This window comes from Homo sapiens, chromosome 3 (genome assembly GCF_000001405.40).
Source record: "Homo sapiens chromosome 3, GRCh38.p14 Primary Assembly".
NCBI classification, from domain to species: Eukaryota; Metazoa; Chordata; class Mammalia; order Primates; family Hominidae; genus Homo; species Homo sapiens.
Window position 1 is genome coordinate 139,517,276 of NC_000003.12, and position 26,331 is coordinate 139,543,606.

At 48.3% G+C, this 26,331-nt stretch overlaps 1 protein-coding gene and 1 long non-coding RNA gene across 5 annotated transcripts in view, besides 4 other annotated features; one reads left to right on the forward strand and one right to left on the reverse strand.

Annotated features, from left to right (window-relative positions):
- Positions 1-26,331, forward strand: part of COPB2-DT (COPB2 divergent transcript) — a 193,517-nt gene that overhangs the window by 127,473 nt on the left and 39,713 nt on the right. The gene's annotated exons all lie outside the window — the stretch shown is intronic.
- Positions 163-22,467, reverse strand: RBP1 (retinol binding protein 1). 4 transcript variants are annotated; one of them, NM_002899.5, is made up of 4 exons: positions 22,185-22,467; positions 21,506-21,684; positions 1,146-1,247; positions 163-405 (listed from the first exon to the last, which is right to left on the reverse strand). In NM_002899.5, the coding sequence occupies exons 1-4, from the start codon at positions 22,441-22,443 to the stop codon at positions 352-354; spliced, it is 594 nt and encodes a 197-aa protein (NP_002890.2). In that variant the 5' UTR covers positions 22,444-22,467; the 3' UTR covers positions 163-351. The 4 variants fall into 4 exon arrangements, with proteins under 4 accessions (NP_002890.2, NP_001352869.1, NP_001124465.1 ...); NM_001365940.2 differs by having other exon boundaries at positions 22,185-22,361; NM_001130993.3 differs by lacking the exons at positions 163-405; positions 1,146-1,247 and adding an exon at positions 7,136-8,627.
- Positions 16,432-16,726: an enhancer, noted in NCBI's record as "tiled region #7279; K562 Activating non-DNase unmatched - State 7:EnhWF". NCBI's record gives its function as "activates a minimal TATA promoter and a strong SV40 promoter by Sharpr-MPRA in K562 cells {active_cell/tissue: K562}" and the evidence as "EXISTENCE:reporter gene assay evidence [ECO:0000049][PMID:27701403]".
- Positions 16,702-17,203: an enhancer, noted in NCBI's record as "H3K4me1 hESC enhancer chr3:139252819-139253320 (GRCh37/hg19 assembly coordinates)". NCBI's record gives its function as "activates a minimal SCP1, AML or CMV promoter by ChIP-STARR-seq in primed H9 embryonic stem cells {active_cell/tissue: H9 hESC(primed)}" and the evidence as "EXISTENCE:reporter gene assay evidence [ECO:0000049][PMID:30033119]".
- Positions 17,850-18,497: an enhancer, noted in NCBI's record as "H3K4me1 hESC enhancer chr3:139253967-139254614 (GRCh37/hg19 assembly coordinates)". NCBI's record gives its function as "activates a minimal SCP1, AML or CMV promoter by ChIP-STARR-seq in primed H9 embryonic stem cells {active_cell/tissue: H9 hESC(primed)}" and the evidence as "EXISTENCE:reporter gene assay evidence [ECO:0000049][PMID:30033119]".
- Positions 20,343-21,542: an enhancer, noted in NCBI's record as "CDK7 strongly-dependent group 2 enhancer chr3:139256460-139257659 (GRCh37/hg19 assembly coordinates)". NCBI's record gives its function as "activates an origin of replication core promoter dependent on BRD2, BRD4, P300/CBP, MED14 and CDK7 cofactors, with strong dependence on CDK7, by STARR-seq in HCT116 cells {active_cell/tissue: HCT116}" and the evidence as "EXISTENCE:reporter gene assay evidence [ECO:0000049][PMID:35650434]".

Here is a 26,331-nt window from a genome sequence, read left to right on the forward strand (position 1 = left end):
CTAGACCCAAGCCTGTGCCTCTGGAGAGAAACACGGTGCAATTTCAGGACATGTGGCTGAATTTATCCACTCTGCCCATGGGTGGCACTAGGAGAAGCTGGCCTCAGAAGCCCTGGAGAAAAAGTGAGCACAGTGGGCAGTGAAACTTCCCCCAAACAGACGTTTTGAACACAGATCACTTTATTGGCATGGCTTTGTTTTAAGAAAAGGAAAAGTGACAAAGCCAAGAGACAGACTCTGCTAACAGATGCCTGGGGGTGGCTGGACATTTTTGCCTCATGCTGTGCAAAGAGGGGGATCCTGGCCCACACATCCTGCTGATTCCTTGGGACAAGGTTGTCTGCCTGGGCCTCACTGCACCTTCTTGAATACTTGCTTGCAGACCACACCTTCCACTCTCATCTCCTGAAACAAAAGCAGATGTTGGTCATTGGCCAGAGCAGAGTCACACTTACGGCAAGAACTCTAAAAATACTCATTGGCTGTTATTTTTCCCCAAGAGTTGGTTTAAGTAACCAATTGTTTGGAAAGACAGTTAAACTGTATAGTGGAGTGCTCTGCAGCACCCTACAGACAGAGCTGGCTGAGAGGAATGGATGTGGCTCAGAGCTGACCAACAGGACCCCTTGACGCTTCCCCTCCCGAATCACCTCCCGCTGACCCAGATTGAGATCATATCTTAGAGAAGCTTAGAGAATCCTTCTTGGCTTTGGCCTATACAATTTGGCATGGTGAATATATACATCATTTGGGAGCAAATGTTTGTTCTGTCACTTTCTAGTTGTGCAATTTGGACATGTAATCTAATCTTTCAGAGCCCCCAGGTCCTCATCTCTAAAATAAGAGCCATATTCCTATTCTGAGAGAATAGAGTTATAGAATGCAAAAGGGCTTAGCTCATTGCTGATGCTTAATGGATATAACTCCTCACCTCTTCCCTCTGATTAGATGATTGGGTCAGCCTAGACCTTGAAAATACATTGCTTGGTTTTTAAAGTCACCCAGGCATCTTTTCCAGGCCCTTGGAAGAGAAGCTTTAGAACAGAACCAAGGCCCATCCATGGTGCCTTTTTCCAAGGTCCATCTGGACCTCAACAATGACCAGGGCCTCTGGGGACCCGGCCTGACCCAGCCCAGGAACCTACCAGGTGCAGCTCATCACCCTCGATCCACTGGGTCCAGCCACGCCCCTCCTTCTCACCCTTCTGCACACACTGGAGCTTGTCTCCGTCCCAGCTCACTGTTGTCTGCCAAGAAAGAGACACATTTGTCAATCCTGAGCAAGCGGGGAGCTCCTGGAGGCTGGGGGAGGGGGCAGCTCCCAAACTTGATAATCTGGGATGTGCTCACGTCAATTTCATTGTAGAAAATCTGCAGCCTAATACTCCCTGTCCATCACATGCTTTTATTAAAGTGTGTAAATCAGTTTTAAAATTTATGAAAACCTTCATAAATTTTATTTAAAAGGGTAATTAGGAGGGAAAAAGTCATTGGAGTGGGGCTGTCATTGCAAGCACTGAGAATGGGGCTAAGGTGGAGAGGAGGGCCTGAGGGCTGAGCACAGCTGGGTGTGAGGGGTGAAGGATGTTTTCCAGAATCTTATGGTGAGGGGCAGACTTCTCAGAGTGTACCCTGACCATCCCCAGACACTTCATTCATCCATTCATTGTTTCAACCTATGCTAAGTCCTGGGATACCAAAAAGACCCCACCCCTGCCCTCAAAGCGCTCTTCATCTCACAGGGAGAATGACCTTAGATATAAATAACCCAGTGAAGGTACAAATGGCAGCTGTTAGCTGCCTACCTGCTCTGCCAGGCACTCTCTGTGCTGTCTCTGAAGCCTCATGCCTATCCACGTGAGCAGGGATTAGCATCTCCTTTTCACAGATCAGCTTAAGGGACTTGCCAAGTTCACCCATGTTGTTCAGTAGAAGAACCAGGTCTGAACACAGATCTGTGGGGCTCTGAAGGTCCCCACCCCAATGGACTAAATTGCTTCTTGAAGCGTTCATGGTCACCAGGGTTATAGGCCAGAGGCTGTGGGAGCCCAGGTGAGAGTCCAGGGAGTGGGATTCACTAGGGCTGGGCTCTAAGGAGAGAAGAATGGAGCTGAAGGAGAGGAAAGGAGGCGCTGTGGAGAAGAGCTCCCAGTAGCCCACCACCCGGTGAAGGCCTGAGGTGGGACAGCGGGAAGTACACTTAGGAGCTCATCAGGAGGGCACCAGGGAACTGAGGAGGAAGGCGAGGAAAATCCCACAGCCCAGCCTGGGCTTGGCAGAGCACAGATGAGCACTGTGACACCCTCTACACCCCACATTTGAGCCCCCACATCTTCCCTGAGCACTGTGAGCCCTGCCATGTGCTGGGCATGCTGAAGGGAAGACAGGCAGGAGGAGGAGGCCCAGCCTGTGTCCTGGGGAGATTTCAGTCTTAGTGGAGCAGAAAAGGCCCACCTAGCAACACGGGGCTGAAAAAAGTGTTGGACTTCAGAGGCAAGGTGGTCCTGTCATCCCAGCATAGCCATGAGTGTGCCCTAGACTGGGACACATGTCGCAGATGTGGGCACACAGAAAGTGCAGTGGGCATCACTCATATTTGGGGCTGCCCACCTTCTTTTGAATAGCCGTCCCATATGGGGCAGTTCTGTGTTATGAGCCTGGCCTCCCCACAGTAGTGCTCAGCACTCTGTTTGCCCCTTGCTCACTGTGTGGCTCTCAGCAAATCCTTCCCTTTTCAGGGCCCCTGTGCTCTCATCTGTCACATGGGGACATTAACTCAGGCCTTGAATGTAGAGAGCTAAGGTTCTAGGATCCTTGTGTTCCTTGCCATGCTCAGCTGAGTCAGGACAGTCAGCAACAGCCGAATAAAGGATTTGGGAGAGGAGACTTATGGGAGATGGGTGTGGCGTTAGTGGGGCCACTCCCTGCAGGAGGACCTCCCCACCCCAGGCCTCCCACCTGGGCCTGCTGATCACTACTGCCCCCTGCTGTTGGGGTGAAGCCTGCAATGCGACACATGCACGAGGGAGGCAGGTGGAGCCACATGTGCTCCCCCAGCTTTGCATAGGAGTAAGTCTGCTCTCTGCTCCAGAGAGAAATGGGGCATAAAAGGACTTGGGGGGCAGATCCTCTCTCTGATCCAGAAATTCACTCAGGGCACAGTCTAGTCCCAGGCTAGAGAGAACGCAAAACATAGTGTGGTTAATGTGTGGTGAGACATGTCATGGGTAAAGACTACTCATGACCTCATGCCATAAATAAGACAGGACACCCATTCACTTATCCGTGCTCCTTCCATCCCAGGCCTGTAGAGGGAAGTGGGGACCCAGAAATCAGTCCTCAGCTTCAAGAAGCTCATAAGAACACTTGGTTTCCTCATCAACTGATCTTCTCTTCATGTGTTTATCCAGAAGGCTACTGTGCATATGAAGGGTTCCGGATTCACTCAGAGGCACAAGAGACAATTGCTTGTTTTCAGCTATGACATACATTTTTGCCTCTTCTGGAAATATTAGTCAGGAAGTATAGTCATAGTCTTTGTATTGGAAAATTAAAAAAAAAAACACCGAAGAAGAAAATGGTAATAAAAATGATACATGTAGTTTTGTTTCTTTAGAGATGATTACTCTAGGCCAGGCGTGGTGGCTCATACCTGTAATCCTAGCACTTTAGGAGGCTGAGGCAGGTGGATCACCTGGGGTCAGGAGTTCGAGACCAGCCTGATCAACATGGTAAAACCCCGTCTCTACTTCTTTACTGAAAATACAAAATTAGCTGGGCGTGGTGGTGCATGCCTGTAATTCCAGCTACTTGGGAGGCTAAGGCAGGAGAATTGCTTGAACCCGGGAGGTGGAGGTTGCAGTGAGCTGAGATAATGTCATCGCATTCCAGCCTGGACAACAAGAGCAAAATTCCGTCTTAAAAAAAAAAAAAAAAGAGATAATTGCTCTAACATTGTATATGTTACAATGTATGGTAAATTTCCATCCACTCTTTTTTTTTTATATCTATCTATCTATCTACATGTTTCTGTTTTATACAAAATTAGGATTGCATCATTTATGGTTTCATATCCTCATTTCTTCATTTAATTGAAGCAACTTCCCATTTCAACAAATATTCTCCATAAGCATTATTTTAATTGCTACGTAATATTCTAGGAAGTAGCTACATAGTGTGTGTGTGGTCCACCACAAAATGAAAATGAGGGATTCTTTGCTCAAAATCATTAAGATTTTTAAGCTGGTGACAGCAGAGCATTAAACCAAGTGAGGGGCTTTCTGAGCCTGGGGCCCTGATGGACTGCCTTTGTCACAGGCCCACAAAACAGTCCCTGATAGTATTTGATTGTACATACATACTGTTATTTAGCCAATTACCTATTTTGGACATTTAAGTTATTTATTTATAATTCTGTGCTACTATAAATAAGACTTCTTTGTATACATAGTTTTGAACACATTGTTCCCTTAGAAGAAATTTCCAGAGGAGGAATTGTTGCATCAAAGAGTGTGCATATTTGTAAAGCTTTTGATGAGTATTGCCAACTTTATCTCCAGAAAGCTCACACCTATTTACCTTCCAACACCAGGGTCAGAGAATGACCATGAGAGAGATGTTTATTAATGGTAAAGCATGCTTTTGCTCCTGGGGCTACTGTGTTACCATTTCCAGATCGCTGGCATCTTTTAACAGGGGCCATCTGGATATAAACAATAATAATACCTTAGCCCAAAAGAATGACAGATGGCAGAATTTCAGGCAGCTTGACAGATTGAGGGATAGAGAGAGCAGAAGTCTGTTGGGGTGTAGAGGAGCCTTTCTGAGAGCCCTACAAACCAGGCTTCTTAAAGGGAAGGATCCCTATCACATGCATACTGCATCAGTCTCCCAGAAAGCCTTTCTTAACCCCAAGCTTCTGTTGACTCTGATACTGGACAAAGCAGAGATTATTTTCTTTGACCTCAGGTGATCCACCTGCCTTGGCCTCCTAAAGTGCTAGGAGTTGGACAAAGCAGAGATTATTCTTGTCTGTATTGGATGTAGAGGGGTGGCTGAGCTCAGAGAGGTTCCATGACTTTCTCTGGTCACCTAGTAAATGAGAGAAAGAATCTGGGCTGGAGCACGGGCTTTGCATGACTTGGTGCCCACTTGTTTCCCAGTCTAGGGCAGGGCACCTGCCAGGTGCCCACGAGATGGTGGCTAAAATCATTGGGGGCTGCAGAAAAACACATGGACATTGTGCTAAGACTCCGAGCAGACTCCTGGAGGAACACCCTTAAGTTCATTCCAACCATTGTGGGGGTATGGGTGCTGGGAGTCAGAAAGAGGTCTTAAAGATTTCTGCCTGTAGAGGTCCCCACAGAGAAGTGCCCAGGCTGTCATGGCCTCAAAGGAGTTTCTAAAAATGGGAGGGGCATTCTAGGCAGAGTGAAAAAGGATGAAAGGGGTAGGAGGTGATGAGGGAGAAATGACAACAAGCCAGTGTTGTAGAAGACTATCCTGGAGTTAAGGAGAGGAGGAACAAGGTTGTTGGGGGGTGGTGGGGAGATGGGGCCAGAATATCAGACTGAAAAACCCAGACTGTGGCCTGGAGCATGTTTTCAGTGCCTGTCTTTGCTGCCTGTGCTGTTGGGTAGAACCATCCAGGCGGGCAGGTGGGCCAGGGAATTGGTCAGGTTGTACTCTGGGTTAAAGAATCCTGGAAGCTTACTGGCCATTTATACTTGGCTCCTGGTCCCTGCCCGCCTCCTACTATACCACCTCAACCTATATCAGGTTGACTTAGTATGGGCAGCAAAGAACATGGTATCAGAGAGAGCTGGGTCCTCTGTTCCTGACTATGTTGGATGACATTGGGCAACTGGATTAACCTCTCTGAGTCTCTGTGCCCTCAACTGCAAAAGAAGGCTAAACGATACCTACTGTGGTAGACTCTTCCACTGGTGACTCCCGAGTCTCATGATATTCAAACCCCTGTGAAGTCTCTTCCTACATCGGCTTGGTTTGGCCACGTGACTAGCTCTGGCTAGTGAGACATGAACAAGCATGATGGAAGTAGTGCCTTTATAAACACTTGTATGCTGGGGGCTTGTCCTCTTGGAATCTTCCCCTCTTGAAACCCAGCTGCTATATGTTAAGGCAGTCCAGGATATTCTGCCAAAGAGAAAGGGCACAAGGAGAAGCCCTGGAGGATGGGAAAGAAGCCACTTGGAGAAGAGCTGAGGCGCCCCAACTGAGCTTTCAGCTGAACACAGCCACAGGCAGCTGAACTGCACAATTAACCAACAGAATCATGAGAATATAAGGTTGTTGTTTTAACCTATTAAGTTTTGGGCTGGTTACATGGCATTAGATAAACAAAGCACCTACTTCACCAGGTTGTTCTGAGGATTTGAGAAAATATACAGAAAATGCATAGGGCTGGCATATAGGAGGCACTAGGTAATGGTAATCATGATGCCCAGAGCTTAGATAAAGATGGGTTTCCTTGTCAATGTTGAACAATAATGAAAGCCTTTTTTTTAAGAGTTGGAGATTTGTGAAGCAGTGACTGACATGCTATTCATCATGGCCAAGGTTTTGGAAGCTCCTTCTCTTTCTAGGATACTGGGATCCATGAGGAGACCTGCAGGGGCTGCCTGCTGAGCACCACGATGCCTGCTTCCTTTATATGTTAACTGGTCTTTGTTTAAGCAGAAGATCTGTTTGAAGACCCCCACTGATAGCTGGGATGGCTCAGCAGTGTGATTTAATTCTCCCACTCTCCCCATGTTAACTTTTGGTGGGACTGGATTTTTCATTTTAAGTTTTTTATCTTGTGGGAATAGACTAGTTATTTCAAAGAGAATCTGATTTGTCATAAGAACAGAAAAAGGAGGTGTGGAGCCAAGGAGGGGGACTATCACTTAAACACAAATGACAGGGAAAAGGAAATAAGTAATGTTGGAAGGTGAATGCCTAACAAACAATGATAATTCATTTTCTTGTGACACAAAGTAGAACTTATGAAAACAACTTTCCCTAGGACCCAATAACTTATTCCATGACCTCCCTCTGAAGTCAGCAGCCAGCTGTCTTTGCTAGATCAGGAGCAGTGAACATTCGGGGACAAGGATTCAGCCAGATCTGAAAGGGTCGTTAAATGGTCATTTAATCTGGTTTCCTAGATTAATCCAATTAATCAGGGTCTAATGGAAGAATTTCAGGTAGGAAGATATTCCTGATGCTTTTCAAGTCCCACAGAAAAGGCAGGTGGCTGTGGGGGTGGGGTGAACATGGGTACAAACCAAAGGGGCTAGACAATGCTGCTTCCCCCAACCCCCACATGGGCTCTGGGACCGCCTTAGAAATGAAGCCCAGACAATCCAAGAGCAACCAGGAGGGATGGCCATCTTCAGCTCACCTCCTCACAAGAAATTTTCATCCCACAGACCACCCAAAAGTCTGCAAATGGGCTGGAACTAGGGAAGCTGGTTGGAAAGTGAAGCCAGTCTAACTTTTCTATTAAAAACTAATAATAACCCCCATCACTTTGGCCTTGCCGGCAGTTTACCCAGAGACATGTGCCAACAGATGAATGAAGACATCTTTGTACCACTATGACAAGGGACTGTTACTTCAGAAGCCATTTTCCAGCTCCTCTGACCACTTAGAAACCCCAGCCGTCACTGCTGCATGGGAGAGTGACACAAAAAGCCCAGCTCCCACAGGCAGCCTGAGTGAGTGTCTCCCAGGGATGTTTCAAGGCCCACTTGCCCCACTTAGGTGACTTATACTAGGAGTGCCAGACAATTCCCACTAAATAAGCCATCTCTTGGCAGTGACCGGTATGACCTGCAAATGGTAGGAACTCTATTTGGTATCAAGAAACTTGTGACATTCATTAACACTCCCATGCTAAAACACCACTCTCAAGAGCAGGGGATGTTGGATCACTCACAGCCCTCCACCCAGCCCTAGTAGTCCCTCTGTTTACGGATCCACCTCTGGAGGGCTGGGACTGAATTCTGTTGTTTCTGTGGTTCCACAGCCAGGTTATGAGAGGTGAAGCCTTGCCCGTGGTGATACTGCCTGCAAAGGCCAGAGCCAGGACCGACCCAGGTCTGACACCAAAACCCATGCTCTTTCGATTTGGGGTAAAATTTCAAAACCAGACAGTGAGTAGATACTTTCTCCGCATAATGGAAATTGCTAAAAGATGCAAATCCTGGAGTTTGATTTGAAAGTGTGCTTCTCCCTTTGAGGGTATGTGTGTTCCTGGGACAATTAGAGGGTTTTCAGCATCTGGTGCTTGTGTTAAATAAGTGATCAGGAGGGAAAAGTAGGGGAGATGACAGAGAACCTGCCAGGTGCCAGGTACTGTGCTGGGAGCTTTCCACAATGTTTCACTAAATCTTCAAGCTTTAGAGCTGATAAAAATTAGGCTTCTATAAGTAACCAGCCCATCACCAAGGGGTTAGGGCTTGAGCCATAACTTGAACCCGGTTCTCTCTGGCTAAAAAGTCCATGAGCTGCCCCTGAGGCCAGGCTGATGAGTGGGTGGGTAGCGGCTCCTCTTCTCTGATCCATTCCTGGGGGGCTGGAATCAAAAGTCAGCACATTCAAGAGGAAAAGCCAGTTTCACTCTAAAAGCAGATTAAAACTAAATTAATAAGGCCTTAAAATGTGAACGAGTAATTAGAGACATAATAGATGTTCAAAGCAATCACTATAAATAGTATAGCCACAACAAAGCTTTTGTGAGCATGAAAGAATGCAATTCTAATACCATGAAAAAGCTAACAGCAAATGATAACACAATTATTAAGACAAAATGAGAAAATGTTAAGACTAATAAACTTGACATGTTATAGTTATTTTTCCTTAAACAATTCAGAAAGTTCCTAGAGTCAGTTTAAACCATTGGAGTGCTCAAGGCCAAGGTTCTGGATAAGGAGGTGGGAACAGGACTGGAGAAGGTCACAGGGCCCTGTGGAACTGCACTCATTCATCCCAGGGACCTAGCACTTAGGGTGGCCCTAAGGCTGGGCTGCACAGAAGCTCTGTCATGGGGTAGCTCAGCCTGGAGAGAAGGCAATGACACCTCTGTGCTATATGCTGGGAGGGATGACGGCCCGCAACCCAGCCTGGGGGGTCAGGGAAGGCTCCCTGGTGGGAGTGATAGCATTGCTGTCATTATCAGTCACCATAATCAATATCATAACAACATGTGTTGTTATGATAATGATAATGCCCAACATTATGTGCTGGGCAGGGTACTAGGCAAAGTATATGTCATACCAGTTGACTCCTGACAACCTCCTAGAGCAGGTATGCTTCTCATCATTTTACAAATGTGGAGACTGAGGCCTGAAGTTCACCCAGCCGTGAAGTGGGGAGATGAGATTTGGCTCTAGAGCTCATGCTCTTGATGACTGTGCTCTGCAGTTCCCTGCTTTAAACTGACCCTTGACTGAGCAATAGGAATTCACCACGTGGTTCTGTGCAAGGGAACGGCATTCAGCAATCATGGGTTTCACACCTCCTATGCACCAGCTGTAGGTGCTGGAGAGAGGGAAGTAAGGTCAGTGGCCTGCTCTTGAGGGCTCACAGATTATCTGAGAAGAAGGTAAGAAGACAGAGAATTCCAGCAGAATGGTAAGTACTGGTAGACAAATGCTGGAGGTTATGGAAGTCAGAAGGCACCTCGACAGCCTTTAAGGTAGAGACAGAGGCCCATCAGGGAAGGCTTCCTGGAAGAGGTAAGGCTAGAAATAATGCTGGAAGTGATGCCAGAAAACACCATGGGAGTTAGCAAACAGTGGAAAGAAGAACCAGGTGTAGTGGCTCACACTTGTAATCCCAGCATTTTGGGAGGCTGAGGCAGATGGATCACCTGAGCTCAGGAGTTTGAGACCAGCCTGACCAACATAGTGAAACCCTGTCTCTACCAAAAATACAAAATTATCCAGGTGTGGTGGCGTGTGACTGTAATCCCAGCTACTTGGGAGGCTGAGGCAGGAGAATTGCTTGAACCCGGGAGGCAGAGGTTACAGTGAGCTGAGATCACGCGATTGCACTCCAGCCTGGAAAACAAGAGTGAAACTCCGTTTCAAAAAAAAAAGAAAAAAAAAAGTGGAAAGAGGAAGAAGAGGAACAAGGGAGTCCCAGGCAAAGGGAACAAGCCCAGGCAGTTGCAGGAAAATCAGGGACAGCAGGGTCTGCATGAGGGAAGTTTCTACATAGGTTTTGCCCAGCTTAACTCTGTGGGTTGACCTTCCCCATGAAGGCTGACCCTGTACCTCTGACCCAGAATTTACTGGGGAGATTGCTCACAGCCTCTCTTCTTCCTCACAGTATGTCTTCGTGCTCCAGCTGGCCAAACCTGGTGCCATGGAAAATCCAGATGCTTGCTTACCTGGCAGGCCGTGCTGGATCTGCTACCTGGGGCCAGTACAAGCAATTGGTGTGTTATTAGTTCCACCAGCAAAGGCAGGGGTGTGGAAGTTGGGGGTAGGGTGGGAGAATAAGAATAAGAGAGGGGACATCCTGTCAGAGAGTGCTTAGGAGGGGCACTGAAGGCCTCATCCCTTCCATGGGAATCTCTGGCCTCTATTTTATATATATACATAAAATATATATATATATAAATAGATATATATATATATCTCAAGGCAAATAGAAATAAATAGCTCCCAGAAGATAAGAGGTGCTAGATCAGTAACCAGGTAACCAGGGAAGAGTGAGCATGTCAGGATCTCTTGATGAAGAACTCCTTGGGGTCTGGGATCCTTTTATTCACTGCAGGATACCAGCCCCCATGTTAGAATCCATGGCAGAGAAAATGTGCATTACCATTTGTTGAATGAATGAATGAATAGCAGAAAGCATTCTAGTGGCACTCTTGCAGTGAACACCACGCTTTCTCTGAGCAATGTGGCTGTTTCTTCCTCACAGGTAAGCCTTATAGAAAGGGGTTAACCATTGGAGTGATTTGACCCTGAGTCTCTAAGGCTCAGAGTGCTTAGGCTCTATATGCAAAGGCACGCAACTAGGAATAGTATAAGACATGGTTTAAATCCCCTCTGCCTAGCTCTGAGCCCATGGTCTGCCTACTGTTCCCACATGAACATTTTGCTGGCATGAATATTATGGCCATTGAATATCACCTGGCAGGCTGCGGGCCTGGTCTGGCTCAGTCATGGGACAGCTGCCTGCCTGCCAAGCTGGGCATTCAGGAGGGACCCAATGATAGCCTTGGGTAGAGGCAGACCTGAACTGCAGGTTCTCACCTTGTTCTTGCTGGGTGACCAAAGCAATTTACTCCACCTCTCTGAGCCTTCACTTCCTCATCTGCAAAATGGGGCTAGTGAGCCCAGCCACAGAGCAGAGCCATCAGGATGAAATGAAACAAGGGGTTTCAAGGACCTATTTCAGTGCAGGACACACAAAATGTGCAGTAAGCAATAATTCCTCTCTGCTCTTGGCCTAGTCCATCCTGTTCCCTGCGGGTATGGAGAGGCAGGTGCCTTTTCAGGCCAGCCTCCACTCTCATAATCCTGCTAGCTCTTCTCTGGTTTGCCAGGTATCCCTTCATACATGTGACCACCCCCAGAATTTGTCTTCTGGAGGTCACAGGTCAGTGTGAGAGGATTAATAATAACAGCTCATACTGATGGGGCAGTTTGCACTGTGGGTTTTCCCACACACCGTTCATCTAATCCTCACCACAAAGCAGGTATCCCCTATTTCATAATTATCCCCATTTCGCAGACAAGTAAAGGCACAGAGAAGTGAAGTAGCTTGCATAAGGCCACCCACTTTGTAAGGGGCAGAAATGAGATCCCAAAGATGACAGTCTGGCTGGTCCGGCTGGTCTAGCTCTAGAGCAGAACCAGTTACAACTCAGTCAGACTGAGTCATTTTCTTCATGTATAATATAGGAAGAATTTTGGCATCTTCATCATAGAATTATTGTGAGGATTAAAAGAATTAATGCATGGAAAGTGCTTAGAAGAATTTTTAGCACATGGAATACCTAATAAACATGAGCTATTATTAAATGGCAATTGCATCTTGCAGTGATATGGTCAATGACTACCATTTATGTTTCTGAGGTTCTGCTATTTTCACTTAACATTCATTTAATGAACACATTGGAGCCCACTGAGCCCATGATGGTGTGGCTGCTGCTGTGTAGAATCTCAGACACATTAACTAGCATCACAGGTGCCCTAAAAGCAGCACCTGAAGAGAGAGGCTGCAAGGCAAAGGAAGGGCACAGTGGTGGGATGGGGAATCAGGATGGGATCAACAGAGCAGATAAGCCTGGGCTGGGTCTTGACCAGTGGGTAATTCTCCTCCTAGAGGAAGAGGCAAAGAAATACCTCAGAGAAGTGAGTAGAGGGATGCAAAGAGGATGGCAAGTGAAGGCACTGACAAATGATGGGATGGGGCCAAGCATAAGGAGTGAGGGAAGGAATAGGGCTGGAGAGACAGGCAGGGCCATGATCTGAAGAGCCTGAGTGCCATCTGGCTTTTACCCATCAGCACTGGGAAGCCCTTGGGAATTTTGAGCTGGGGAGTAGCATGATCAGATTCCCTTTTTAGAAAGGGAGGGATGGGCTGAAGTGTTGAGCATGGTAAAATGGAGATGAATGTGAAGATACTGCAGTAATTAAATGAAATAATCCATGGAAAGCGCTGAGCCTGGCACACAGTAAGCACGAGAGATGTTAATTGTTATTATTATTACTGGCACGAGATATTCAGAGCAGTGGGAATGAAGAAAAACAGGAAGAGACGTTAAGAAGCAGAATCTATGGAACTTGGTGACTGAATGCCTATAAAAACTTTTCATTTATCTTCATAGTGATCATTTACACGGCTACATAGTGGTCTATGGAATTAAAAAGCCAGTCTTTCTAACCACCCATAGTTATTTGATATTTAGGTATACCAGCAGGAGACAGCCTGTTCTATAAAAACCATACAAAGTAGGGAATCAGAGACATCCGAAGTGAGATCACAAATCTATGGTTAATCAGTAATGTGAACCTGGGCAGGACCTTTGGCTCCCTGTCTGTAAAATGGGAGAGTAGCACCTCCTATCCAGGATTGTTAGGAGATTAAATAAACATAAAATGACAGGGCAGGGCCTGCCGCATAGTAGGCCCTGAGATAGTGGTTATGCTTCTGTGGGTTGTTGAGAATTATTATCACAGAGTGACTAACAGATACCTTTGTACAAATAGAGTGATTTTCCTGGAATATAATCCCATAAGTGGGATCCCTGAGTCAAAGAGTAAGATGATTTTCTGATTTATTGCACATTGTGAGAAGATTATTATTATTATTTTTTATTTTCTTAGTGCAGGACCAGTTCCACTGTAAAGCTGGCAAAGGTAGGTTTTGGAGACTGGGTTCCATGCCATCCCCACCTTCACACCCATCTTGTTTATACCATTCTTTCCCAGAGTATTCCTATGCTATCCTTGGACCCTCAGTTCAGGAAAGACAGAGGGAAGAAAGAGGGAAGGGGTGGGAAGAGGAAGGAAGAAAGGAAGAACGCACTAATCCCTGTATTAAAGGTAGCTGGCACCCTATGGTGTTTGCATTCTTGGAAACTACCTGCCACGTAGTGAGGAAGCCCAGGCACCCAGCAGAGAGTAAGTGTGGGTTAGCCATCTGGAAAGTGGATCCTCTACCTCCCCACTGGCAGGGCAGGCAGCAGGGACAAGGCATCCCCACTGAGCCCTGTCCAAATTGCAGATTTGTGAACAAAATAAATATTGTTGAGTTAGGGTACTAAGTTTCAGAGTGGTTTGTTACACAGCAACAGGAAACAGAAATAATTCATCACCATATTTAATTCTCACATAACTCCATTAGGTGGGTATTACCCTTGGCTCCTTTTACAAATGAGCACATTGAAGCTCAGAGGGATAAAGTACCCTTGCCAAGGAAACAGCTGTACGGCAGAACCAGGATTCAAATCCAGGTCCATCTCAAAGTCAAAGCTCCTAATTGCTCTGTTGTACCTCACACCTGTCCAGCTGCACACACTATTGGTATCACTTACTTGGACCCTCAATTGCAAACCACTGTGGGCTGCTGCAAGATTGAGGTCCCCAGGCAGTCTTCATCCCCCACTACCCTGATCCTGGGATGGAGCTACACCTACCTATTCTCATTCATCCCCTAGAACTAGGCACATTTTACCCCAGCACAGGCTTATTACATTGAATCATGATGAGAAAAATCACAGGAAACTAGGCACAGGCCAGCCTGCTTCCTTGTTTTTCTTTGTTAGTAGTTATCAAAAGCATGGTCCTTGAACCAACAGCATCAGCATCATCCAGGAACCTGTTAGAAAAACAAGTTCTCAAGCCTCACCCCAGACTTTCAGAATGAGAAATTCTAGGGGTAAGGCATGCTCAAATTTGAGAACCACTGCTCTAACTACTTATGTGGGTCTTAACGCTTGATATCTGGAGTTTGAATGTCTTAGGATGTTTTCAGATGCAAGTGGCAGGAAACCAATTCACATAACTTAAGGTGAAAGAAAAAAAATGTATTGGTTGAAGTACATGGAAAATCTAGGAATGGTGCGTCAGGAACTCTAGTAACCCTCTAATGTTGCATTCTCTCTGTCTCTATTGGCCTCATCTTTTACTTTCCTTCAATTGGATTTTTCCATGCAGCTAAGGAAGGTGGGGTAAGGGGACTGGCCTCAGAGAACACCAAGCTTACATCATAACAGCTCATCAACCTTTAACGGAATAGAACTCACCTGTCTCTCAGGGTTCCTAAATTAACTCCCAGGAAATGGTGACTGGCCCAGCTTGGGCCACATACACAAGTATGTGACAGGCCACGGGACACTGTGATCACCCTATCAGAAGGTGCTCTTCCCAGAAGAGACAGGGTACTATGATTTGCAGCCCCACCAGGACCCAAAAGGTTGAGGAGGAGTAATTCCCACCATAAAGAAAACAGTGCTTCTCTTGGGTGGGAGGTGGAGGAACAATGTTGGTCAGAAAAACAAACAGCTGTAATTCATTCAGTAAATACCTGGCCATCATAAGTGATTATGCCATGCCCCTCAGTCTCGGGTATCACAGGCCCTGGCCCTGTTCTCACATAGTATTGTGGCTTCCCAAGCTCATGTGCCCTGTACTATCTCTATGGTCCTCAGCTTTGCCTTGTGAGACACGCTGAGCAGCAATTATGATGCCCGTTTTGCAGATATGAAAACAAAGGCAGTGTGTCTAATCATTTAAGGCCGCTGTCAGATAATCGAGAAGAATTCAAATAGATGTTCTGACTCTAATACCGGTGCTCCTTTCACTCATCCTAGGCCTTGTCAAAACTGCCTGGGTTTACCTTCAGACTGTGAGAAGGCTCACAATAAGGAACTGAGGTGCTGGCCTTCAGCAAAGCTCTGTGGGAGACCTTGGGGTAGAGAGCTTTATAAACAGACTAATTAGAATTCTTCCTCTGCCACCAGCTAGCCCAAGGGTGACCTTGGGCTAAAAAGGCACTTCACTTCTTTGAGCCTCAGATTCTCATCTGTGAAATGAGTATAATGATACTTACTGAACAGCATTTGTTGTGGGGACCAAAGGAGAAAAAGTACAAAAAGCAATTGGGGCAGGCATGGCACTTAGTAAAGATTCAGTACATGTTATTTTCCTTTGTTCCTGCCTAACAAAACCCAAAACCCAACAAAGCAGTGTGATTTTTGAAAGCTACTTTGTGAATTTTATTTGGGTTGCTTTAATTCTTCTTTTTGTAATCCTCAAAAGCACGCTGCTGACACCGATTTCAAAGGTCGGAGAACTTTAGCTAAGACATGAAAGAGATCCTGTGTTTCTAGCCTGGAAAGGGCCCAGCTGAATGCCGGGTGCCTGATCTGGGCAGGGGCAGCTCTCAGAGGCTCCCACATCCAACGGCATTCTCAGCGCTGCAGCCCAGGGAGTTAATTTAGCCAGTGGCATTGTGTGTGCGTGTGTGTGTGTGTGTTTTTTAAAACAAATCAAAAAATCTCTTTAATGGGTCAAGAATAGGATCAGAAAGCTGGCAAGAGTTTAAACCAAAGTGTCAACAGTACTTTGTTGGATTTCATGTATTACCATATATAATTAGATGGATGGATGGATGGGTGGAGAAATAGAAGGATGTAAGTAAGGAAGTCAAGGGAGGGAAGGAAAGGAAACATAGACGGTTAAAAAAGAACTTAGAAAATCTGTAAGTGCTGATATGGAAAAATGTGTAAGAAATATCACTGAGTTAAAAAAATATGTAGAGAAGTGGATTCCTTTTTTTCTTTTCCTTTCTTTCTTTTGGTTTTAGATAGAGACCTTGGCCAACTGCCTAATCAATAGATAGATCAATTATAAGTCTGAGGAAGATTTCCGGACAGATCCACCAAGTGGGAATCAGGCCAAGTGGGGGAAGGGGCCCTTTTCAGCCCATACTTTCTTGTGCTATTTGAATATTTTCCTTTTATAATAAAAACAAAGAAAGCGACAGAGGGGCGGAGGGCTGGGAGCAGAAGGCAGGCCCTGTGGAGGGGTCATCCTAAGTTCAACGATGGATATGAAGCTGAGGCTCCAGCCACAGGGGGAGGCGCCTGTTCCCCGAGTGAACAAAGCCATCTCCTACAGGAAAAACATGACCTGGACACGGGGATGACAAATGGCCCTTCTGCCACCCCCGCAGAGCCAGGCTCACGGCTGTGATTCCTGGCCGAGGCTCAGTCTTCTCCCACAAAACCTGCTCATGCTGGGGGGACTTCGAGACAAAGAACCAAATCATTTTGAGGCGCTCGCTTCCTCGGGAGTGAGAAAACACTATCTGAAGTCAGAGCACCTTCCTTTCTCAAGAGCTCCCACCCTGCCAAAGCACATATGTGTTATATTCAACAAATGCTGCTGGTTCCTTGCTGGGCCTGATCGCACATTTTTATGGACAAAGGCATGCAGGAAGCAATGGAGAAAAGCCCTGTGTCTGTTCAGCTGAGCCCAGACTTTGTATATCTCTACCAAAATAGTGCCTGCTGTTTGTGGTCACATAAAATCTGATTAGATCAGACTGGAAATGTGAGCCTAGTGATGCAGAGCCGCCCAGATCTGAGTCCCTCCACCCCTCCACCTGGGGAGAGAACACAGAGCTGTTTCAGGTGGTTCTGGGCATGGACTGCAATGTCCATAGGACTCAGGTGATGGGCCAAACTGGCCCTCTACATGCCCATGGCCCTGTACACCTAATTTTACAGTTTTCCATTTTTTTATAGAGACACAGGAACAGAGTATGTTTCTTTACTCCAGAGCAGTGATTCTTAAGCTTTAGTTGCATCAGAACCACCTGGAGGGCTTATTGAACCACAGATAGCTGGCCCCACTCCCAGAGTTTCTGATTCAGTAGGCCAGGGGTGTGGCCAGATAATCTGTATTTCTAAGAGGTTCCCTGTGATGCTGCTGCTGCTGCTGCTGCCTCTGCTTTGGGATCCACAGCTCTAAAGGAACCCACAGTGCAAACAGCGACAAATGGCCATTTGATCCTTGACTTCAGGTAACAGGATGGGCTGAAGACTGTGGTAAACTAGGAAATGTAACATCTAAAGGGAGCAGCTGCAACATATTCCAGGGATCCACGCAGTGCAGGAATAAACAGGTGCCCAGTGTTTCCAGGGCCTTTCCTTTTCTTGTTGTTTTTGTTAAGAACAGCCAGAAATACGGATTTTCTGTGAAATCTTACAATCTTTGGCAATTATTGGCAACTGACTCTGAAGCTTTTCAAACATTGTACAGGCCAAACAAAACACATCTGCAGGCTGGGTTTCACCCTCTGGCTGCAGTTCTAGAATACAGATAAGGTTCCCATGGAAAAGAGGCAGGATCAGAGATCTCTCAGCCAGTGAGAGCCTCTGCCCTTTGGGGAGGGATGTCAGCCTGGCCACACCTCTCCCAGCAAGGACTCACAGAGGCCTGTCAGGGTCACATCAAGTCTCCCTGCCAGGTTCTCCTGGCTCTCTTCTCTCCCAGCCACATCTTGCACTCCAGGCATGCTGAAGTCTTCGCAGACTGCTCCTCTCTCACCTCTGAAACTCCCTCCCAGCCAGGCTTTTCTGACCCTGGGCCTTTGTACATGTGGTTCCCGCTTACTGGAAAGCTCTTATCCTTTTCTCCACATCTGCCCTAATTAGTCCTTTAAGGCCCCTCTCAGCTGTCGCCTCCTCTGGGACTTTCCCTGACCACTGCTTTCCTACTCCCAGCTGTATGCTCCCCAGCCCACCGTGCTCCCATCATGCATTGAGCTGTAATGGCCTGAAGATGTGCCTGTCTCCTCCACTGGCCTGGGTGTCCAGAAGGCCTTGTTGCCTCTGCGACCCCAGGGCCAAGCCCAGGGCTTGGTGTGGGACAGCTTTCGGCCGTGGCCTTTCTTTCAACCCCTTTCTGTTTGCCTGGCTACTTCCTGTCTATCCTATAAGCCACAGTTCAGACTCCAATTCCTGTGGGAGCGTTCCCTGACCTCTCAGACCGAGCAGGGAGTGCTTCTCTGCCTGTATCAGCACAGTGTCCACTACGTCGTGATTGGCTGCTTCAATTTGCCTCCTCCTTACACTGAACTCCATGAGGGCAGGAATCGTGTGTGATTTGTCTCATTGACACAGGGGTTGCAAAGATAGTGGAAGCACCATGAGATGCTTGTGGTGTCCAGAGAGGAATGAAAAAAATAGACGAATGACCGATCCCAAGTGAGAATGGGACTCCTGTAATATGCTGGGAACAAACTCCTCTGGGCCACTGCTCCTGGCTGATGGGTGCCCAGTGTGTGAGGCAGAGGGGGTAGCAGTGAAAGTGATCTTTGGCAACCACCTTGTCCAGGACCCCTGGCGGCCCTCAGAGAGCCCAGCTGGTGGCCTCTGGGTACCCAGCTCCCCTCCATTCACAAGTCTCAGGCCTGACAGCTGCTCTAATTCTATCATCCTACCCCCATCCAGCCATGTCCTTCCGGCAGTCCAAAGCAGCATACCACCCAGCGGCCAGCCCAGAGAGAAGGGCTTTTCTGTACTGCATGGGGCTAGGCGAAGGCTTGAGCAGAGCAGACAGGCTGTTCCATCTCCCAACAGGCCACAACAGGTGAGCGAATGGCTATCTACTTGAGAGTGGGCATCCCTGAGTCCTGGGGCAGTGATAGTAACCATGCATCCTAGACCAGTTTCACTGGATTCGTCCAGTGGCTGAATCTGCACGGTCTGCTCGACTACTGCTTGATGCTCGATTGACGCTGATGCTGTAGTGAGAAGAAAAGGTGGCCCTTGTCCTTTCCTTTGTATCCAAAACCCTCCCTTCTACCTCCCTGCTTTATTTTACAATGAAGCACAGAAGTCACCTCTTTCAGAAATTCTTCTGGGATCCCCTTCTCTGGGTAGTCCCCATCCCCTCACTCCCACCCTGTGCTTTTCTTTGCCACACTGTGTTGCGAGTGTTGGTGTGCCTGCCTCCACTGCAAAGACTTTGCTTTCCTGGACATCAGGGCCTGTGACATGCTCTGCTGTCCTGTGCCTGCCGTGGTGACCAGCCCGTGAGGGAAGCAGTATGTTCAGGGCAGTGGTTAACTAAAATCCTCCCTCTGCACTTCCCCAAGGTCACACAGCAAGAAATCCTGCAGTGGTTTTCTTATCTGTAAAATGAGGCTTGAAAGGGTGTTGTGAAGATTAAGTCAGCTAATGTAACGTTTGAATAGCATCTGGCATGACAGTAAGCACTTGATGAGTACTGCATTTGCTAGTATTACTAGGTGATCAATAAATGTTTCATGTGTTAATGGATGAAGAAAGGAAGGAAAGAGTGAAGATAATTAGTACAAGCCAGCACATGCCAGATTTGTGGTGACCCAAAATAAAGGTTCGATGTGATCTGTGAGTTCCACAATAGTGAGTGGGGGTAAGGATTATTCTTAAGGAGCAAAGTTCCATGCAGTGTGCCGGGGAGCAGGTCTTGGGCAGTAATGAGAAAGGCAGATGCCATCTGAAGGTCTCCTTTCCTATTGTGAGTCTTTCCTGCAGATTAAGAGTCCTTGAGATTTTTAAAGGCACAACCTGACATTTCTCTGCAACAATGGTGTTTTCTCCCATTAGTGGTCCTTCCAAGGCCACTCCCTGCTGACTACCCCCTCTTTCCCATCATTCCAAACAGCAGACTCAGATACCAATCCTGACTGCCTTCAGATGAATAGACAAGGTGGGGGGATGAGTCATCCAGGCTCCAGATGCCTATTCCCAGACATGGGCATCCCTTCAACTACAATCCTAACAGACCTCAGCTATCTTGTTTCTGCACAGACTACCAGCAGAGAAGCTGGCAGAAAGCAGGACTGTGGGCTTCAACATCAGAAGGCCCAGGGCTCAAGTCTCATCTCTTACAAGTCTCTTCCTCTGTCTGAGCCTCAGTCACTGCATAACATGGGGTTACTTATCCCTCCCTCACTGTGCTGTGCTGTAAGATGACTAGCACAGTGCTGGACACACAGCAGACCAGCGGTAAAGACCCTTGGTAAATGGTGGGAGGTGGTGGGTGAGGACCCCATCAATAAGCAAGGTGGCTCCTGGGATGAACATAAGCCACTTCTGAACCCAAGACTATAAAGGGAGAACAAGAGTACCTTGACCTCCCAGCAACCAGATAATGTTGATGGAGGCCTGGGGCTGGCCTTCCGGCATCTGCTGTGGCAGTACTAATTGGGATGTCCTGGGTCAGGAGTTTCCCACCCTTGTGGAAGGGAGCTCTTGGCCCTCCCTCTTCCCCCACTGCTGTTTCCTCTGGTCTGGGCTGGAGGGGCCCTGACTTACTGAATAGGTGTCAGCTGCAAAGTTCAAAGAATGCTCAGTAGGCATTGGATGACAGGGTGGGGCAGGGGATGGCCAGGAGCCAAATCCCAGCTCTGGGGCAAGGATGGGCAGATCAGGGGGCTTCCAGCAGAGATCAAGGGGCCCCCAGCTTCCTGGAGTGACTTCACACTAAGTCATACTGAAAGTTTACACTTCAAAGGGGTTACCTGTGTTTCTTTTTTCTTTCCTCCTTTCTTTTCTTTTACCCTCCACCAGCCCAGTCAGCCAGAGAACGGCATCAACAGACATGCTTTGAACTCCAGACCCTCCCTAGCTGTGCTACTCTGGACATGTTACTTCATCTCTTTGAGACTGTTTCTTCATCTGTAAAATGGGCATATTCATATCTCCCTCAAAGGCTGTGTGAGGCTTAGGTGAAGTCATGTGCATAAAGCACCGGGCAGAGTGCCTGAACGCAGTGGAGACACAGCACATGGCAGCCTTCATAACCATCACCTTCCAGTGTAGATAGAGCAGGATGCTTCATGAGTTGGTGCTGCCCACCATGGGGGCTGAGAGTGGGAAGAGTTTTCAGTCCCTCAGGCCCTTGCCCCCTCTCGGATGAACTAGCCCAGCCCTTGGTCAGGCCCCCTGGGCAGGAGACACCAGGTGGACGCGAATCCTCACCATGCACTTGCGGTCATCTATGCCTGTCAGATCCTCCTCAAACTCCTTCCCAACCTGGAAGTCCATGATGTAGTTCCTAAAAGTGCTCAGCGTGCGGATGATCATATGGTCACCGTCCTGCACGATCTCTTTGTCTGGCTTCAGCAAGTTGGCGATTTTGCGCAAGGCCACATTGACGTCTGCGGTGGGGGTTGAACGGGGAGAGAGAGAGCGCCAGAGAGTTGGCAGGGAAACTCAGAGAACCGTTCCCAAGGTAGCGGGGCCCCAGGAGCCCTCTCCGCCCGCGAACACTGTTAGGGTTCCCGCTGGCTTTGCGTTGTCTCTGCGCACAGCCTGCCTGTGCCTCCCCTGCCGCCCCCAACAAAGTTTTCTGCTCTTATGTTAACCGTTTAAAAACAAAAAGTAGCAAACCAAGCCCCAGATTTACTAATGAAATTACCCACCTCCAGGGCCAACGAGCAGACATTTGCCACCGGTTAACCTAACAACCCCGAATTCTCCAATCTGCAGCCTGGGGGCTGCCCTGGGAGCGGTGGCCGAGGACGCCCTTTCTGGCGTCCGGGGGCACCGGACCGCGGCTCGCCGGGATGGAGGCAGGCAGGCAGCGTCTCGGGAGGGCTCTAGGGAGCGGCCCGGAGCTGCTCGGCGGGGCGCCCAGGGCGCAGCGGGCAGCGCTTACCGAGGGCGCGCAGGTACTCCTCGAAATTCTCGTTGACCAACATCTTCCAGTACCCAGTGAAGTCGACTGGCATTTCGGGGAGTGACTGGAGCCAGTTGGCCACAAGCGGGCGGGACGGCTGGAGACTGCCGGGACAGCGGCTGCCGGTGCTACGCGGGTGGTGGGCGGCCCGGAAATGAGCGCCCTCCGGGGACAGGGGGCTCTGCGGGGCGGCGACAGCTGGATTCCCAGCGCGCACAAAGCCTGCGGGAGGATCCATTGTAGCGGTCGCTCCTCCCCGCTTAGCGAGGGCGGGCGCAGGGGCGGGGGATGTCGAAGGGTCAGGTTTGTCCAGGCCGCGCCACCTTCGTTTCAGACGTTCAGTTCGTTTCCCCTACAAAGGAAGAGGAGACCGGAGACGGGACGTTTGCTTTGTTGGCCGAACTCTTCGGCTGCTGGGGATTTCCTTCAAACGCCATTAACTTCTCACACTCAGCAGCCACTCGGGAGTTGGGAAACAATCTCCTGGGGTTTGTGCTGGCGTGATTAAGGAAAGAGGCCACTTACAGGCCTTTGTCTAAAGCCTCGCGCCGGTGGTGGCTGGGGTCAGGAAAGCTGGGAGGTTCAACTACGGGCGAGAAAATTGGGGCACTTTCCACGTCTCTCCCGAAAATAAAAGAAAGGATGCCGGGCACGGCGGCTCACGCCTGTAATCCCAGCACTTTGGGAGGCCGAGGCGGGCGGATCACCTGAGGTCAGGAATTCGACACCAGCCTGGGCAACACGGTAAAACCTCGTCTCTACTAAAAATACAAAAAATTAGCCGGGCGTGGTCGCGGGCGCCTGTAGTCCCAACTACTCGGGAGGCTGAGGCAGGAGAATAGCTTGAACCCGGGAGGAGGAGGTTGTAGTGAGCCGAGATCGTGCCACTACACTCCAGCCTGGGCGACAGAGTGAGACTCTGGCTCAATAAATAAATAAATAAATAAGTAAAATAGTTGATGTTATTTGAAGTGCATGTGGCTAAAAAAGCCTTCTGGGTGATTCTGATGCACAATCAACTTTGAGATCCACTGCTGCTTTATGCAAATGTAAGCAATATACTGTTTATTAATGTTTCCTCCCGTTTCACCTAATGGCAGCACTGTACTCCACGGTGTTCTGGACTTTGCTTTATTCACTTAATATATTCTGGAGACTTTTCCATAGCTGTACATAGAAAGTATCCCCATTATTTTACGGAGTATTCCATTGCTTATCCAGCTTGTCCCCTGATGGACAAACTATATTGTTTCTGATCTTTCACTATTAAAAGCAGTACTGCAATGAAAATCTTTGATCACATCTCCTTTGTCACCTGCGTGGGTATGTCATTGTGGTTTAACTGCATTTGCCACCAAGTAGATGACATAATCACATGGGCTGACTTTTTGACCCTCTTTTTGACTACCTCTTTTAAATCGCTTTTTGCACAAATCACAGCCTAAGTGACAGCAGATAACATTTTCTTCCCCTCTAGCACCACCTTCCCCAGGGTGCCTCCCTGGGGCTCACATGTGTTCTCACAGTGCAGGCTGAATTAGGAAAAGGAGCCTCTTCCTCAGGGTAGAGACAGCTTCCTCCCAGGCAGCAACTTGGATTTCAGCGCTTCTCACCCTCTTTCCCTAGACTAGGATTTGTTTCTTAATCTCTGTGCTACTGACATTCTAGGCCACATAAGTCTTTGTTACAGGAGCCTGTCCTGTGTACTGTAGGATATTTAGTGGCATCCCTGGCCTCTACCCATTAGATCCCAGTGGCACCCAGACACAAAGATGTCGCCAGACATTGTCAAAGGCACTGGGGTGTGGGTGCTGGGTAAACCAGCCCTGGTTGAGAGCCAGCTCTAGGCCCTTGTTTCCCACTGCTTCTTTGTCTGGCTCTGGATGGTTAGGTCATCAGTTGTTCACACAAGCACTGGCTCTGTGTCCCTCCCTAGCCAGCCCAGGGCTCATCTTGGCTGGGCACTCAGGGCAACCTATCCCAGTCCTTCCAACCTGAAGGTGCAATAAGACACCTCGCAAGGATGGATGGGGCCTGGCCCAGGTTCTGTAAGGCATCCCACCAGGGCCAGCCATGCTTTGGGCTTTCTTGTTATCCTGACTTACCAGAATGGAGCATTGGTCAAAGGCTTAAGCAGTGAACTGGCCATTCCTTGGTCACTTCCAACTAGTCTAAACTCTTCTCCCTGCTCTCTGATGCCTCCAGCCCAGCTAGCCGGATTTCTCATCCTCCCCAAACTTCTCCCTTTATGCTGAATCACCTGAGATGGTTTATGCCAAATGCTCAGCACAGTGCCTGGCACACAGCAGAGGCCAGTCTGTTCTGACTCCCTGCCATGCTTGGAATGGCCCTTTCGTGCTCGAGGCAGAGGCCTGCCCACCTCTCCAGTCCTTCTTGTCCATCCCAAAGAACCACAAGCTTGCCACTCCTCCCTCTTCTGACCACGTTGGATAACTTCTGCTCACCTGATCTCACTTTTCTGACCTGGTCAGCTGAACATATAGCACTTAATTCAGCTAGTTTCACTCAGTTTCTGTCTGTCCACCTCTTTGTCTAGTCTTCCAAATGGGTCAGTACGCTCCTGCCCTTCTGGGTCTCCTCCCAGGCACAGCCCCTGGTGGCTGTGCTATTTCTTGCAGCAAAGGGTAGGCTGCATGTGTAGGCTTTAGAGGCAGAATGCCTGTTCTTGCTAGCTGGGTCACTGTCTACCAGAGTGATTTGGGGTAAGATACTTGATCTCTTTGTGGCTTAGTCACCACATCTGTGAAATGGGGACACTCTGACTACCTCTCAGGGTGCTGAGAAGCAAAGGATGAGGAATCTACAGGGCGTGGCACTGAGTACTGTTCCAGATCCACTGCTGTTTGAGCCAGAGGGGCCCTAGAAGGGAGGGAAAAGACAAGGGAGAGCCTGGGTGCTGGTTTGTGCCCCTCTTCTGGGGCTTTAAGATCAGTCTAATGAGTTGAAATGGGAAATGCTCTTCAGAAGCATCAGCTACCATCAAAGTTATCCTTCCTCAGCCCATGCTGTTGTGCTTGATTTAATCCATTTGGTTCTCGATTTGGAAACAAAAAGTATTTTTTGGAGCTCCTTTCTGTCTGGGTTAATCTTCCTTGGAATGTGTGAAGCAAAGAAAGAGTAACTGAACACAGTATGTAAAGAAGAAGGAGGGTGTCTGTGTGGGCTTGCAATCAGTGAGGGCTCCCTGGACGGGGTGAGGCTCTAGCTGGAGCTTGAGGACAGCCAGGATCAGAGAGATGAGGAGGAGGAAGGATAGTCCAGGTGACCAAGGAGACAGGTGAGCAATGGAGTGCCAGAGTGCCAAAGCAACGGCCAACTTGTAAATGACTGAGAGAAAGAGATGTCAGTATACTCAGGCACCTCTAATGGGGTTCGCTTTATTCAATAGCTTTAAAGAAGAGCAGCAGAGATCTACAACCAATTCTTGGGGGCTCAAATTGCTCCCAAGGCCACAAAGAAGAGCCAGACCAGTGGGAAACCACCCTGGCCTGTGTATAGAGTGAGTTAGACAGGCACAAAGAACAATTTTATGTTGGGGAGGAGAGGAGACAGCCAAGGATCTCCAGCGTGAGCTCCTGAGTGAGGGAAGCTCAGGGACACTGCAGGCCCTTCCTGTGAGGATAGGAAGGAAATATGCCTTTTCATTTTTCAGCTGATCAGTCAACTCCACAGGAACAAACCAGAGCTCAGAAAAATATGTCCATGGGCCGGGCATGGTGGGTCACCCCTGTAATCCCAGCACTTTGGGAGGCCGAGGTGGGCAGATCACTTGAGTTCAGGAGTTTGAGACCAGCCTGGCCAATATGATGAAACCCCGTCTTTACTAAAAATACAAAAATTAGGCAGGTGTGGTGGCACACACCTGTAGTTCCAGCTACTTGGGAGGCTGGACAGGATAATTGCTTGAACCTGGGAAGCTGAGATTGTGGTGAGCCGAGATTGTGCCATTGCACTCCAGCCTGGGTATCACAGTGAAACTCCATCTCAAAAAAGAAAAAGAAAAAAGAAAAATAGGTCCATGAAATGATGCCTCAATCGCCTGCCTTGTGAGGCGGGCAGTACTATGCCTGTATCACTGCAGATCAAGCAGCTTGCCAGGGTCCCC